A 15168-nucleotide genomic window follows, 5' to 3' on the forward strand; every position below is an offset into this window, starting at 1 on the left:
GGCCTCCCAAAGCACTGGGATTACAGGCATGAGCCACAATGCCTGGCGTCCAAGGACACTCCTACACAGCCAAGTAAGGAGAGAGAAACTGTGCACGACTGCTTTTCCCAACAATAACAAAAATATGTGCTAAGTTTGAAAGCACATCCTAAATACGAATTGTGAAAACAAAACGTACAACCGTGTGTGTGTGTGACTGTATACGCATGTATGTGAATGTACCTATAACTACTCAAAGAAATTTTAAAAGCCTGGAAGGATTCACAAAAACTCTTACTGGTGGTGGGGGTAGGAAGGTAGAGAATTGCATTTAAAAGCAACTTTATATTTTTTTTGTCTTCTATTTCCTAAAAGAAAAGAAAATTGAAAAGCAATTATTAGAAAGCATAGTTATACTGTCATTTATGTCTTAAAGCAAATGAAAAGCAAAGCAGTTTACATATGCACATAAAAGCTCCTAAGCCTCACTACCAAAGTATTTTTAGCCATGATTTCCTCTGGGAGGTGGGATGAAAGGGCTCTCCTTCCTTATTTGCCTATGTTGCCTAAATTGTTACCCATTACATTTATAAACAGCAAAGTGATCAATAATTCTCTTAAGAAGCAAAGCAATTGAGTAGCAACTCGTAGGATTGAAGATGGCAGATGCACAGTAGAAGGGACAGCACATTCTTGAGGGGGGACTTGAGTACAAACCATGGCTTCAGCTCAAGCAACTACAAAAGGATGTTCTCCAGTTGAACAGATGTAAGGAGAAAAAAAAACAGGCAAGTGAGGTAGAGAACAAGAAGAGCAAAATGCTACCAAAACACAACATGCAAAACAAAAATAAAAAACCTATCCAGAAAGAAAACAGAAACAAAGAAAAGGAGTAGCCAGCAACAATGGAAGAAAAAAAATAAAAGTTGAAGAAAAAGAGAAATACAAGCAGTGCTGCCATTAATGTTCCACAGACACAGGATCAGCTGACTCTGTACAGATCACCTGCATCCAGAATTTCTCTAATATGACTCTTGGTTCAGTCTAGAGAGCAATCTCATCAGTATCTTCTTGTCCCTAAAAGCTTCTTTATCTAGAAGTAAAAGTACCCAGACATTATTGGTGGAAAAGATCCATCAGTAACAGCCATCAATCTACTCCAGGATCCAAATATGCCCATAAATAGCCACTGAACTGACAAACTAAAGACTCATGAGAGAAGAACTGGAGTGTCTACAAAAAGTGTGAGATGGACAACAGGTCTCAGAACTTGTTGCAAAGTGGCCCCACTACCCTGTGCACAAAGTCACAGATGAAGGTCATATCCCCTGAAAATGCTGACCCCTTCCATCTCCCACCACTGTGAAGCAAATGTAAAAGGAGTGACACTTATGAAATTAAAAGAGCCACCACCTTCTACATTTGCTCTGAACTAATACCTATCCAATGTCCTCTGCTCTCAGCAAGTGCTGCTAATACTGTCAAAAGAAATGACAGTAAACTAAGATGTAAAGAAGACTCACACTAGAAGGCATGCAATCATCCAGGGATAAAAAAGAAACTACAGCCCTACTCTATGGGCCAAGAAGAGGCAAGAAAAGAGCTACATTAGGGATCACACATGCTGAGGAAGCTGCTACAGTTCTGGCAGAGAACTGAAGCCTTGCTGTGAAAAAGGGGAGTGGAGTAAGAATAAGTATTCAAAGGAAAAAAAAAAGGGAAAATGAAAGAAGAAATAAAGTAAATAAATGAAGGCCTATAAAAGGAGACTCGAAGACTGAGAAGCAGTGGGAGCTTCAGGACCAAGAGGAGCAGGCTCCAGCCTCGGTGCGTGCCAGCAGCACAAAAGGGAAGGAGAAACACCTGATCAGGAGAAAGCTGAAAAACAGAAAAAGAAGAGAGACTTTCATGGCCAAACTTGCAGAACAGACAGAAGAGAAAGAAAACCAAAGTATGAAAAGAACCAAAATGCTGCTAAAGATGAAGATAAATCTGGCAATTAAGTTAAAGAGAAAGAAATTGAGGCCAGAGAGAAACACTTTTAAGAAATGTACCCAGTGAAAAATATAAATGGCACTGACCAATCTCAGGAAATTGACACCTACAGTCAAATTAGCTCCAAAAATAAGTCTCCAAGCAGGACTGTTCTGAAGCAGCTGCTGCACAAATGTCCAAAAGGGTCAGTGACTTTTTTTTCCCCCCTACAACAGCTAACTTCCAGATTTTTGGAGGAGGACGGGGGAACAAGGGTTTCACTATATTGCCCATGCTGGTCTTGAACTCCTGGGCTCACACAATTCTTCTGCCTCAGCCTTCTGAGTAGCTGGGATTACAGGCGCATGCCACCTTGCCTGGCAGTAATGTATTTGTAAAGAGGTGATGAGAAGACTGACAGAAAATTCAGGGCGAATGCCTGTGAATATAGTGAGGATTCCAGTCCTTGAGTCAAAGAAAGGTTAGCTCAGCCTCTGCAATCATGAACATGAATAAAGACCTCACGGGCCTCTCAAACTCTGAATGAAAGACCCAGAGCATAGTGAACATACAGCTACCTCAGCAGACAGCTGAGCCCGCCAATGAAATTCAGGTATCTTAATGCCACAGGCTTCTCCCAAGTCCCAACTAGCTTTTAAGCATAGAAGAAAAGCTTCATTTATCTTCTTGCTGAGATTATATCACAATTACACTCAGAACTGGGAAGGAACATGAGCTGGATCTTATTCTCAGGACTCTCCCCCCAGAGCTTTATACCTTAACCCAGTTTCATTCCCACAAAGAAAATGGCTTTGAAAAGAACAGGGAAACTTCCAACCAAGATCTTGATATTTTTCAAGGAGATTTTCTTCTGTTACATTGTTTCTTCACCTCATGGCCAATGTAATTTCTTTGTTTTCCTTTTAATGTCCCCATGAGCTAGTCTCTTATTTTTGTGTTTTCCTACCAGTGTAAGTGTATAGAAGGTATATAAACTGATATTAAGCAAACAGGTTTCCAAGATAATCACCACTTAAGAAAAAATGCAGGCCGGGCGCAGTGGCTCACACCTGTAATCCCAGCACTTTGGGAGGCTGAGGCGAGATCATCTGAGGTTGGGAGTTCGAGACCAGCCTGACCAACATGGAGAAACCCCGTCTCTACTAAAAATACAAAAATTAGCCGGCATGGTGCTGCATGCCTGTAATCCCAGCTACTCGGGAGGCTGAGGCAGGAGAATCGCTTGAACCCAGGAGGCGGAGGTTGCAGTGAGCCGAGATCATGCCACTGCACTCCAGCCTGGGCAACGAGAGTGAAACTCCACTTCACACACACACACACACACACACACACACACACACACAAAAAATGCTTTCAGTATATATTTAAAGCCTTAAAATAATATTTATATTCATTTACCAATTAAGAAATAAACTAATAATGGGAGTGCCCAAAATTTGATTTCTAAATACTATACTATTCTCCAATTAAAACAAACAACAACAACAACAAACAGGGATCCTTGGAGAAGTGACTGATGCCAGGCTGGGGAGGGAAAAATATAAGGGTTTTGGGTGCCAGAAAACAAAAACTAAGGAAGGACTAAAAAAAAAAAAAAAAATCGGGGCAAACAGACACAGCTCCCAATAGTCAAAGAGCTACAATAATTTCAGCAATAAAATAACAACAGTACTGCATTCTAGTGCAAAGAATAAAATAAGTATCCAAAGCACACAATAATATAACTGATTGAATAAATAAATAACAGGGGAGAAGGGATAACTCTTCCTCACAAAGATTCCAATTAATACTTTGAATGAATGAGAATTGTATGTAAGTATCCAATGAATGCCTAGAAGGAATGAAGGAAAGAGAAAGTCAAATCCCAACACCACAGTAGTCATTGCTGCAGGCAAGATCAATCAATGAATGCTACTTAGACCAAAGTTCAAAGAGAAACAGCATCTCATATGCAAAGTAGTAAACTATCTTCCCCCAAATAATTACTGATGACTAGGAGAAAGACAGTAAGGTTCCAGTGGTAAAACTTGACAGAAAACTTGAGATGCAACCAAATTGAGGGACTTTATAAAAATACAAATATAAGGCCGGCACGGTGGCTCATGCCTGTAATCCTCGCACTCTGGGAGGCTGAGGTGGGCAGATCACCTGAGGTCGGGAGTTTGAGACTAGCCTGACCAACATGGTGAAACCCTGCCTCTACTAAAAATACAAAATTAGCCAGGCCTGGTGGCACATGCCTGTAATCCCAGCTACTCGAGAGGCTGAGGCAGGAGAATCACTTGAACCTGGGAGGCGGAGGTTGCGGTGAGCCGAGATCACGCCATTGCACTCCAGCCAGTGCAACAAGAGCAAAATTCCGTCTCAAACAAACAAAAAACAGAACAAACAAAAAAACAAATATAAAACACTTCTTCAGAAGTGTTTTGAAAGACTAAGTAACTGTCACAGATTGAAGCAGACCAAGTAGACATGACAACTAAACGTAATGAGGAATTCTAGATTGGAGCCTACAACAGAAAAAGAATGCTTAAATAAACTTTTAAAAGTCTGCAGTTTAATTAATAGTACTGTACCAACGTAAATTTTTTAATTTTGATGAACGTACTATGGTAATCCAAGATAGCAACTTGAGACAAACTAGGTAAAAGGTGTAAGAGAACTCTGAAAGTCTACAATTATTCCAAATAAAAAGTTTGCTGGCCAGGCGCGGTGGCTCACACCTGTAATCCTAGTACTTTGGACGGCCGAGGCAGGTGGATCACCTGAGGTCAGGAGTTTGAGACTAAAAATATGAAAATTAGCTGGGCGTGGTGGCGCATGCCTGTAATCCCAGCTACTCAGGAGGCTAAGGAGGGATAATTGTTCAAAGGGGATGGGGCGGGGCAGAGGTTGCAGTGAGCTGAGATCATGCCACTTCACTCCAGCCTGGGTGAAAGAGCGTTAACTCTGTCTCAAAAAAAAGGTTTGTCTTATCTTACATTGAGAAGTTCCAGTCATTCAGTCATCATCATTTTTATCTGATTTATTTCCATTTTAGGTATTACAGGTTTTGTTTTGTTTTTTTGAGACGGAGTTTCACTCTTGTTGCCCAGGCTGGAGTACGATGGCGTGACCTCCACTCACTGCAACCTCCGCCTCCTGGGTTCAAGCAATTCTCCTGCCTCAGCCTCCCAAGTAGCTGGGATTACAGGTGCCCGCCACCATGCCCAGCTAATTTTTTGTATTTTTAGTAGAGATGGGGTTTCACCATGCTGGCCAGGCTGGTCTTGAACTCCTGACCTCAGGTGACCCACCCACCTCAGCCTCCCAAAGTGCTGGGATTACAGGCATGAGCCACCATGCTCAGCCAGGTATTAAAGATTAACTTGGTAAGTGGCTCTTAAAAATCGAGGACATTTAATACTGTCAATTTTTATCTACCAATTTGGATTCCTTCTTTCATTAATTTGTCATATATTTATTGAGAACCTACTGTATGTTCCAGTACTGCCTTGAGGCGTCTATGAGGAGACAGATTCGTGGTATGCTAAACAGTGACAGCTGCTACATAGTAATATAAAACAAGAGGCGGGCACGGTGGCTCACGCCTGTAATCCCAGCATTTTGGGAGGCTGAGGCAGGCAGATCACCTGAGGTCGGGAGTTCGAGACCAGCCTGACCAATACGGTGAAACCCCGTCTTTACTTAAAATACAAAAATTAGCTGGGCGTGGTGGCACACACCTGTAATCCCAGCTACTTGGGAGGCTGAGGCAGGAGAATCACTTGAACCCAGGAGGCGGAGGCTGCAGTGAGCCGAGTTTGCACCACTGCACTCCAGCCTGGGCAACAAGAGTGAAACTCCGTCTCAAAAATAAAATAAATAAAATAAACAAGGAAAAAGAAAATAAATTTAAGAATAGGAAGGAAAAAAAGAAATTCATAAATTCAATCTTACAGAACACCTAACAATTCGCCTGAGAGTCACAGAAATGTACTCTTTCACATTGTTTCTAATACAAAATCTTGAAAATTGCAAAATACAGTGTTATGTTTTACTATAGTTTACTCTCTGACATCGTAGACTGCTTATGCACTAATTCTTCCTGGATACCGGAAGCCAGAGAAAACCTAGCGGTGGAATACTTGCCATTTTTCATGCTTTTTGTCAGTTTCCTTTTTAAGTGCATACTGAGGTTTATCTTCAAAACATTCTCATCTTTTCGGCTTACAGTAAGACTTTTTTTTTTTTCTAACCAAAATGTGTCTGCCTTTCATTAAGATAACATAAAAGAGCAGCCTAATTCTTTGGTCCCTGAATATGCACACACATGCATGCACACACACACACGCAGACACACACACAACACATGGAGGCTCTCTGAAACTGCTTAATCAAATTACTGCTCAAACCACTCCCTGGCACTTCCTTGCAAAACAACCAACCTAATACTGAGTTTTTAGTTTTGCACTACAAGCCGTTTGAAACAGAATAACATTCTTTCCTGGCCACCACTTTTAAATTCGGAAGGAGACAATACTCTGATCTCTTAGGCCTGTGCAAGTCAGAGTGTGCTACAATCGCTGCAGGTTAGAGCTCTGCCTTTGTTTAAAAACTGCATTTTATATACTAGTTACTTCATTGTGAAAGATAACCACCCTGACAAACAAGATTTTGCTATTTTTCTGCACAAATGTCACTTCACCATTTAGAGCTTCATGCAAATGTGTCTCCTACAGAAAATAAACTGCAAACACGATTTCTTAATTATCCTCGCCAAAAAAAAAATGTTTTAGTGGTGTCATAATGCCAGCACTAATTTTAGCCAAAATAAGAACAAATGCATTCTACAAATTCAGGAGATTATAATTTTTAAAAAGCAGTAGTATGGATATACTTAATGTCACTGAATTACACACTTCCAAATGGTTAAATGGTAAACGTTTATGTATTGTATGGTAAATGTTATGTGTTATTTTGGCACAATATTGTTTCCTCACAATAATACTAACAGGTTTTTTAAAAAGCAAGAGCACGCTCTCATTTCGTAATATATATTTATGGATGTCAGTGTGCAGAATTATGCACAGATATTTTAAATGTCAGGAGGCCTGGAGACAGATTTCAGGATTGCGGCTACTTTTACTTTTCTTCTACTTTCCCGTGTTATCTAATTGTCTCTGATAAATACGCTTTATATGCAGAATTGGATGAAACGAGAAAGCCCGGAGAAACCCGGGCTCCAGATTCTCTACCCCGGACGCCTGGGAGGCAAAGAGGTTCTAGATACGCCCTCAGCGTGGCGGGGGCGGGATCCACCGCCAGACCCCCGCCACGGGCGCAGCCTCCAGGCCGGGCCCCGTCCGCCGCCCGGGCAGGCCCGAGAATGCCGCGGACTTCGGGGAGCCCCGCGCCCGCAATGCCGCCACCCCCACCCCCGCGCCCCGCCAGGCCTCTCACCGACTCCCGCCGCCGAGCGACAATCGGTCCACCCGCCGCCACCGCAGCCGCCCGTCCCGCGCCTACCTCCCGGCGGCTCCAGTCGCGCACGCGCGTCGGCGCCCGGGGCCCTCCGCGGCCTCTCTAGGAAACTGGGAGGCCCAACGTCTCTGCTTCTCTCCGGCTCCGGTGCGGCGGGCGGCGGGGCTTGTCCAACATCCCTCACCTCCCTCAGTTGGACATTTCCCTTCCACGCTCGGATGCCCAGCCGCGCCTGTTTTCTTGCATCCCTCCTGTCGTGTCTGCGGGGCTGCCCTGAAGGCCTCTTTCCCTCCAGGGAAGAAAGGGATCCAAAGCTAGGGGTGAAAATAGGGCCAGCAGTATCTAGCAGACTGGTCCTGGCCAGGAGAAGGGGTTAAGGGAGCCACTCATTCTTCGCCTGGGTACACTTCAAAGAGGGGAACCAGATCCTACGGGAAGCTAGGTGCCAGAACTCCTGCCTTTCCAAGACGAGCTCATCCCCATCATCACCATACCCAGGAATACTTGTTCATAGCCAGCTCAGAGGTGCACCATACTTTAGCTTCCCACGGCCTTCACTCGTTTTCTCCTGTGGGTGAATTCTAACTAGGCTCGCCTGGTGAGTGAACAATGATGCCATTGCCCAATAATATGTGGAATCTGGGAGGAGTAGGTTGGGGGTAGGGGGTGGAGGGGCTGCTTGAAGAGGAGGTGAAGCAACCTGGAGAGGTTGCCCACCCCCTGTAGGAGCAAATGTCATCTATTGCCAGTGCCAGAGAACCTTGAGGGTGCACAGCCAAAGCCATAAGGCCATCTGCTGCCATTGGAGGGCATGCTACAAGCTGCTGTCCTGGTAGTCCTCTGGTTTGTGCTTCCTAGTGGCAGGCTGCAACATGTTGACGATTGATCTTTCAGATGGGCATTGATGATGCCCATCTGTGCCCTGAGGCTTTGCTTTACTCATCTGATCCACCCCTTTTTAATGCCCCAGTCACCAAAGATGGAAACAGAGAATAGATCCTGAACACCAGGAAGATGGTGACAAGGTGATAGAGAAACAGATGGCACATTCAAACAAGGTAAGTGGGGAGAGTTCACAAGGGGCGATTTACACAAAGTGGACAGGGTTAAGGAAATGCAACACGGAGTGGTGCAGAATCCCATGGCTAGCAAAATTTAGAAGCTATTCTCACCCCTAGGAGCAGGCCATCTGAGAGAAACTGTGGCTTTCAGTTGAGGGCTACATCCAAGCCATAGTCCAGCACAAAGGAAGCTGAGGTAATAAATAACCTGAACCCAGCTCTCTTCTGATCTCCTGCCAGGGCTTCCCATTGGCCCAACTCAACTGGAAGCCAGAGGGCAATCCAGGAAACTCAGTCTCCCAAGTGTCACAGCAGGGTTGAGGACTGAGACTGAATATGGAGGGGCAATTGGAAAATATCCAACACATACAAAAAGGAAAATAGAAACTGCTTGTCAATGCCTAATTTGTCCATTAATTTCCACTCGATATAATGTTCTTGAGTGACTCAGAACCACCCATAGTGGTGAGAAGAGTTTTCAAGTTTTGTTTGAGAACAAAATTTTCCCATCGTAGAAGAGTTTGAGCAGGTTCTCTGTGTTTGGGATGTACTTACTGGATGTTTTTCAACGTGATAGGTGGTTAGCATGGATAGCACCCACATTTAGTGTGATCAAACAGATCAACCAAATTGGCTTCACCAGCACTTGCAAAGTTCGGGAAGCAGCCACTGGGAGTGCAGCTCTGATTTTAAGACCTATACAGCTTCTTGAATCTCGAAGTTCTGCTAATACCTGATTTCTCCGAGTGCCACAGCACTCGAGCCTATAACCATGAGGTTTCTTCACTTTTCTGGTAGGAGGCATATTCTTGCTAGCTGTACTTCCTGAGCACTGTACTCTTTCAGATCGGGGCAGTTTGCTTAGTAAAAGCCCTAGGTAAGATTCTCAAATTCTCATGTGCATATGAATACAAATCACTTGGGATCTGGTTAAACTGTAGATTCAAATTCAGGAGGTCTGGGGAGGGACCAACGAATATTTTTAACAAACTTCCAGGTGTACCCATATTGCAGTTCTTGGACCACACTTGGAGAAGCAAAGAACTGTGCATGTAAATCAGTGGTTCTTAACTTTGCTGCAGATTAGAATCCTCCTCAGAGCTTTTAAAAAGTCCATACCTCATATCAATTCAATCCAAATCTTTGTGGGTGAGACACTGACAAGCCTAGATTTTAAAATCCCTAGATGATTCCAACATTTGAGAACCTGGAAGTAGATAATTATCCTTTTACCCTGATTCCTTGCTACATGTAAAAACCACATGCTAAAGGATTGCATGTTCATTTGCTTCTTTGTTTTGGAATTTAAAGTGTATCAGGATTCTGCCTTTCAAACAGAAGGGGGAAATTTCCTCCTTAATTTTTTTCTTCTTATTTTGAAATGGGGAAGAAAAAATTGGGGTGTTGAGATGGGGATCTGGAATGTGACTTGAGAAAAGAGATAAGATGTTAAAACTAAGAATCAGTTGTGGGCAAACAAATTGGCCTGGTAGGATTTTCACTCCTTTTCTGGCCTCAAACTCAGCCCCTTCTCTGTAGTTTGAAGGAGGCAGGTTGAAATATTAGGATGAAAATAAAATAGAGCAATGTATCTGAGGATGGTGATTACTGTGATCCATTGGATTAGTGTACTCTTCTATAAGAAAAACATAAAACAAATGTTTAAGCAGTTAAATTATGTGTAATTGTGGCCATTTGAAATATATTACATATTATATCATATAATTAATCTTCTCTGAATTCCCCCTTCTGCCTCTAATTCTAAGATATTGAAAAATACATTTTAATGAGATTTTAGAAGGTGATCCAACTTTAAATGAATTTTAAAATTATCATTTATATCAAAGAAATACTGATGCATTTAGTACTAATGAAGGACTTAAAATGAAAAATTGAACTCAACTCCCTCCTCCACCCTCCATCTTTTTCTGCAGAGGATATTCCTTGCATCTGAACATAAAAGTAGAGAAAGAGAGAGGATCAGGAAGCCAGGAGAGAATATACACGAATTTAAACTTTATTGGTAGTGGAGGGGGTGAAAGAATCTTTGAGTCAGACCATAGCCATGAGGAAGAAAAACTATGGAATCTTTGCTTTTATGCATTGCTATACCTCAAGTACTTAGAACAGCACTGACTACATAGTATGTACTCAATAAACATTTGTTGACTAATCAATCTTCTCTATGTCTAACCCAGGCCCTTAGGAGGTCTCTATTGTGATAATAGCCAAATCCTCAAACAGGCCAGATTTAGCTGGCATGATAACGAAGGCCCCTCCGCTTTAATCCTTACAAGGAAAGTAATCTGAAATAACTAATGCCAACCAGTCTGCCTTTGGTTCCCTATTTTTGCTTTCTTTGGCCTTTTTCTGCTTATAAAGCCAATCTCCTCTGTTCAGCTTATCAGAATACCCGTTCTATTTTATAGAATGAGATGTTGCCCGAATCTAGAATCACTAACAAAACCTAATTTGGTCTTTATTATTTATTTATTTATTTATTTATTTATTTTTGAGACGGAGTCTCACTCTGTCACCAGGCTGGAGTGCAGTGGCACGATCTCAGCTCACTGCAACCTCTGCCTCCTGGGTTCAAGTGATTCTCTTGCCTCAGCCTCCTGAGTAGCTGAGATTACAGGCGCCCACCACCACACCCAGCTAATTTTTGTATTTTTAGTAGAGACAGGGTTTCACCATGTTGGCCAGGCTGGCCTTGAACTCCTGATCTCAGGTGATCCACACACCTCAGCTTCCCAAAGTGCTGGGATTACAGGCGTGAGCCGCTGCACCTGGCCTAATTTAGTCTTCAAACTAAATTTGTCGTAATTTCATCTTTTGACAACTGCTTCTGTCCTGCCTTTTTTTCACTTGCCATTCTAATGTCAAGTGTTTTTTATCACATCACTAAATAATCTTCAAAATTTTATTTTTCCTCAGGGCCCTGAAGTGATCCTCCTCCTGTTCACTGACACCCGTTGCCAAGAGAGAGAGAGAAAAAGAGAGAGAGAGAGAAGCAGGAAGAGAGGAGAGGGTGCTGGCCTTATTAGAGAAAGAATGTAAGGGGAAAGAAAACAATCATGTTAGCTTTGATTTCTGTAATAAGTCTGTATCACAGACAGGCTTAGAAAGCAAAGCTTTGGCATTACAAGAGCCCATGAGGGAGCAAAGCTCTCTTATAGAAAGTCTGAGGCCAGGCACAGTGGCTCACATCTGTAATCCCAGCAATTTGGGAGGCCGAGGCGGGCGGATCACGAGGTCAGGAGATCGAGACCATCCTGGCTAACACGGTGAAACCCCGTCTCTACTAAAAATACAAAAAAATTAGCTGGGCGTGGTGGCGGGCGCCTGTAGTCCCAGCTACTCGGGAGGCTGAAGCAGGAGAATGGCGTGAACCCGGGAGGCGGAGCTTGCAGTGAGCTGAGATCACGCCACTGCACTCCAGCCTGGGCGGCAGAGCAAGACTCCGTCTCAAAAAAAAAAAAAAAAAGAAAAGAAAAAAAAGAAAGTCTGGAGGTGGAAGTTCCGAGACTTGACACAACTAATAGAATTAGTTCATGATGTGTTATCATTCCAATGGCACCAACAACTCACTCACCACCTGTGCCCCAGGCAAACCTGCTCCTCCTGCTTTCCTTATTCTCTATCTGAAGAAAGAAATAGGAAGTGTCAGTATGGGTACTAGAAGCCACATCTATCTATACTCATTAATTCTTTCATTCACAAAGAATTTATTGATTATGCACTATGTGCTAGATACTGTTCCCGACCTGGGGTATATCAGTTACCAGGTGTCAAGCAACTGACACCTGTTTCCACCTCCAACAGAGAAGTCCCACTGGGTAGAGGACAGCAGAGCATAAAAATGAGTACCACCAAAACCAGCAGTCCTACGATGTTAAGCCACTGCAGGGTTTGAAGGTTTGGGGGTTGTCAAGAAAGACAAGACTTACACAAGCACTGGATGGAACATTTTACTCAACAGAGAAGAGACAGAGTAAGATCAGCTTCAATAGGGAGCATTGGTTCCCCATGGCCAGTGGGACTTGCCCTGCAACCAGGACAGACAGATGGTCTGCATACACTCTTTGTGTGTTGCCTGGGAGGGACCCCATTCCCATCCCACTGAGAACAGATATAGCAGTGGGGTTGGGCTGGTACCATATGATGCACATGTTTAAGCAGAACAAAGAAGTACATGTCAAACCTGGAACAGGAAAAGATATTCCCAAACAGGGCAGTGAGCCCAGCACAGGGTGTGGAGGCTCTTTATCACCATGTAAGTAAAAGTTCCAAGCCCGAGGCACATTCTTTGAAACTGCAAGGTTTGACAGGCTGTGCAGGAGTGTCTTTCCCAGCAGTTTACCCACTGACCCTTGCTTGGCTGCTGAAATAGCAGATAAAACATACTGAATCTAGCAGACCACCATCTGCCCTGAATTTGGAGGCAAAGCTGGGTCTGATGGGGCCTGAACAACCCCTATGGATTAGGTTTGCTCACAGAATCTTCCTGTCACTTTTTAAAATTAATAACCCTTATTTTTAAAATCTATTTATTTATTTTGAGACCAGGTTATGAGACTGGCTAATTTTTGTATTTTTGGTAGAGATGGGGTTTCACCATGTTGCCAAGGCTGGTCTCAAACTCCTGGGCTCAAGCAATCCACTCTCCTCAGCCTCCACAAGTGCTGGGATTACAGGCATGAACAACCGCACCTGGACAACCCTGATTTTTTAGAGCAGTTTTAGGTTCACAGCAAAATTGAACAGAAAGAACAGAGAGTTCCCAATTCACTCTGTTTCCATACACACATAACCTCCCCCTATAGACATCCCAAACCACAGTGGTACATTAGTTACAGCCAAATATGTATATATGTGTGTGTGTGTGTGTGTATATATATATATATATATATAAAATATATATTTTATATTATTATATATTTTATATAATTATATAATAAATTTTATATTATATATAAATATATAATATATAATAATTATATATTATATATATAATATATAGTATATATATAATATATTATATATAATAATATGTAATATATATTATATATATACTATATATTATATATATAATATATACACACAGATATATATGTTATATATATACACACATATATATATTTGTTGTTGTTGTGTGTTTGTTTGGTTTTGTTTTTGGTTTTTCAGGGTCCCACTCTGTTGCCCAGGTTGGAGTGCAGTGGTACAATCACACAGCTCACTGCAGCCTTGACCTCCCAGGCTCAAGCGATCCTCCCACCTCAGCCCCTGAGTAGCCGGGACTACCGGTGCAAGCCACTACACCCGGCTAATTTTTTTGTATTTTTGTAGACACAAGGTTTTGCTATATTGCCCTGGCTGGTCTCAAACTGCTGGACTCAACAATCCACCTGCCTCAGCCTCCCAAAATACTGGGATTACAGGCATGAGCCACCACGCCAGGCCAAGACTTTATATTGAGGTTCACTTTTGGTGTTATACATTCTATGGTTTTTGACAAATGTATAAATACATGTATCCACATACATGTATTCTGTGTCATATGGAATAGTTTCCAGAATAGTGTGGTGGTGCACACCTGTAGTCTCAGCTACTTGGGAGGCTGAGGCAGGAGGATGGTCTTGATCATTATAACTTTATAGTAAGGCTTAAAGTCCAGTAAAGTCAGTCCTCTGACTTTGTTCTTCTACTTCAACACTGAGTTGACTACTCTGGGTCTTTTGCCCTCCATGTAAACTTTGGAATCAGTTTACTGATAACCATAAAATAGTATTATACAGAATAGTTTCACTGCCCTAAAAATCCTCTGTGCTCTCCTTATTCATCCCTCCCTCCTCCCTGTGGCAACCACTGATCTTTTTACCATAGTTTTGCCTTTTCCAGAAGGTAATACAGTTGAAATCATACAGTATGCAGTCTTTTCAGATTGACCTTTCCTGTGTCTTTTCTTTCTTTTTTTTTTTTTTTTTTTTTTTTGAGAGACAGAGTCTTGTTCTGTTGTCCAGGCTGGAGTGCAGTAGCACAATCATAGCTCACTGCCACCTCAATCTTCTGGACTCAAGCAATCCTCCTGTCTTGGCCTCCTGAGTAGCTAGGACTACAGGCATATGCCACCACACCCAGCTAATTTTATTTTTTTATTTTTAATAGAGACGAGATCTCACTATGTTGCCCAGGCTGGGCTCCATGTCTTTTCATTACTTGATAACTCATTTCTTTTTAGCAGTGAATAATATTCCATTGCCTGATATACCACAGTTTATTTAACCACTTAGCCTCTGAAAGATACCTTGGTTGCTTCCAACTTTTGTCAGTTATGAATAAAGCTGCTATAAACATCTGTGTGCAAGTTTCTGTGTGGACATAAATTTTCAATTCATTTGGGTAAATACCAAGGAGTACAATTGCTGGATCAGATGGTGAAGTATTTTTGGTTTTATAAGAAAGCAGCCAAACTGTCTTCCAAAGTTACGGTACCATTTTACATTCCCACCACCAATGAGTGAGAGCTTCTATTTGCTAGTATCCTCACCAGCATTTGGTATTGTCAGTGTTTAGATCCAGAATAGGTGTGTCACAGTGTCTCCTCTCACTGTGATTTTAATTTGCAATTACCTAACAACATATGATGCTGAAGATCTTTTCATATGCA

The 15168-nt window shown here is 42.4% G+C and overlaps 1 protein-coding gene and 1 long non-coding RNA gene across 3 annotated transcripts in view, besides 2 other annotated features; one reads left to right on the top strand and one right to left on the bottom strand.

Moving 5' to 3' along the window:
* Positions 1–7496, bottom strand: part of ZNF445 (zinc finger protein 445) — a 45966-nt gene extending 38470 nt beyond the window's left edge. For both annotated transcript variants that reach the window (NM_001369454.1, NM_181489.6), the window contains exon 1: positions 7417–7496. The gene's annotated coding sequence lies outside the window, so the exon portion shown is untranslated. The remainder of the gene's footprint in view (positions 1–7416) is intronic.
* Positions 7244–7293: a silencer, noted in NCBI's record as "silent region_14263". NCBI's record gives its function as "represses an Ori minimal core promoter by ATAC-STARR-seq in GM12878 lymphoblastoid cells {active_cell/tissue: GM12878}" and the evidence as "EXISTENCE:reporter gene assay evidence [ECO:0000049][PMID:35858748]".
* Positions 7314–7473: a silencer, noted in NCBI's record as "silent region_14264". NCBI's record gives its function as "represses an Ori minimal core promoter by ATAC-STARR-seq in GM12878 lymphoblastoid cells {active_cell/tissue: GM12878}" and the evidence as "EXISTENCE:reporter gene assay evidence [ECO:0000049][PMID:35858748]".
* Positions 7516–14854, top strand: LOC101928529 (uncharacterized). The gene is made up of 4 exons (XR_940785.4): positions 7516–8035; positions 8408–8495; positions 11436–11554; positions 13686–14854. It is a non-coding gene; the product is annotated as an uncharacterized LOC101928529 (long non-coding RNA).
* The last annotated feature ends 314 nt before the right edge of the window (positions 14855–15168 follow it).

The sequence above is a fragment of the Homo sapiens genome, chromosome 3, assembly GCF_000001405.40.
Source record: "Homo sapiens chromosome 3, GRCh38.p14 Primary Assembly".
Classification (NCBI taxonomy): domain Eukaryota; kingdom Metazoa; phylum Chordata; class Mammalia; order Primates; family Hominidae; genus Homo; species Homo sapiens.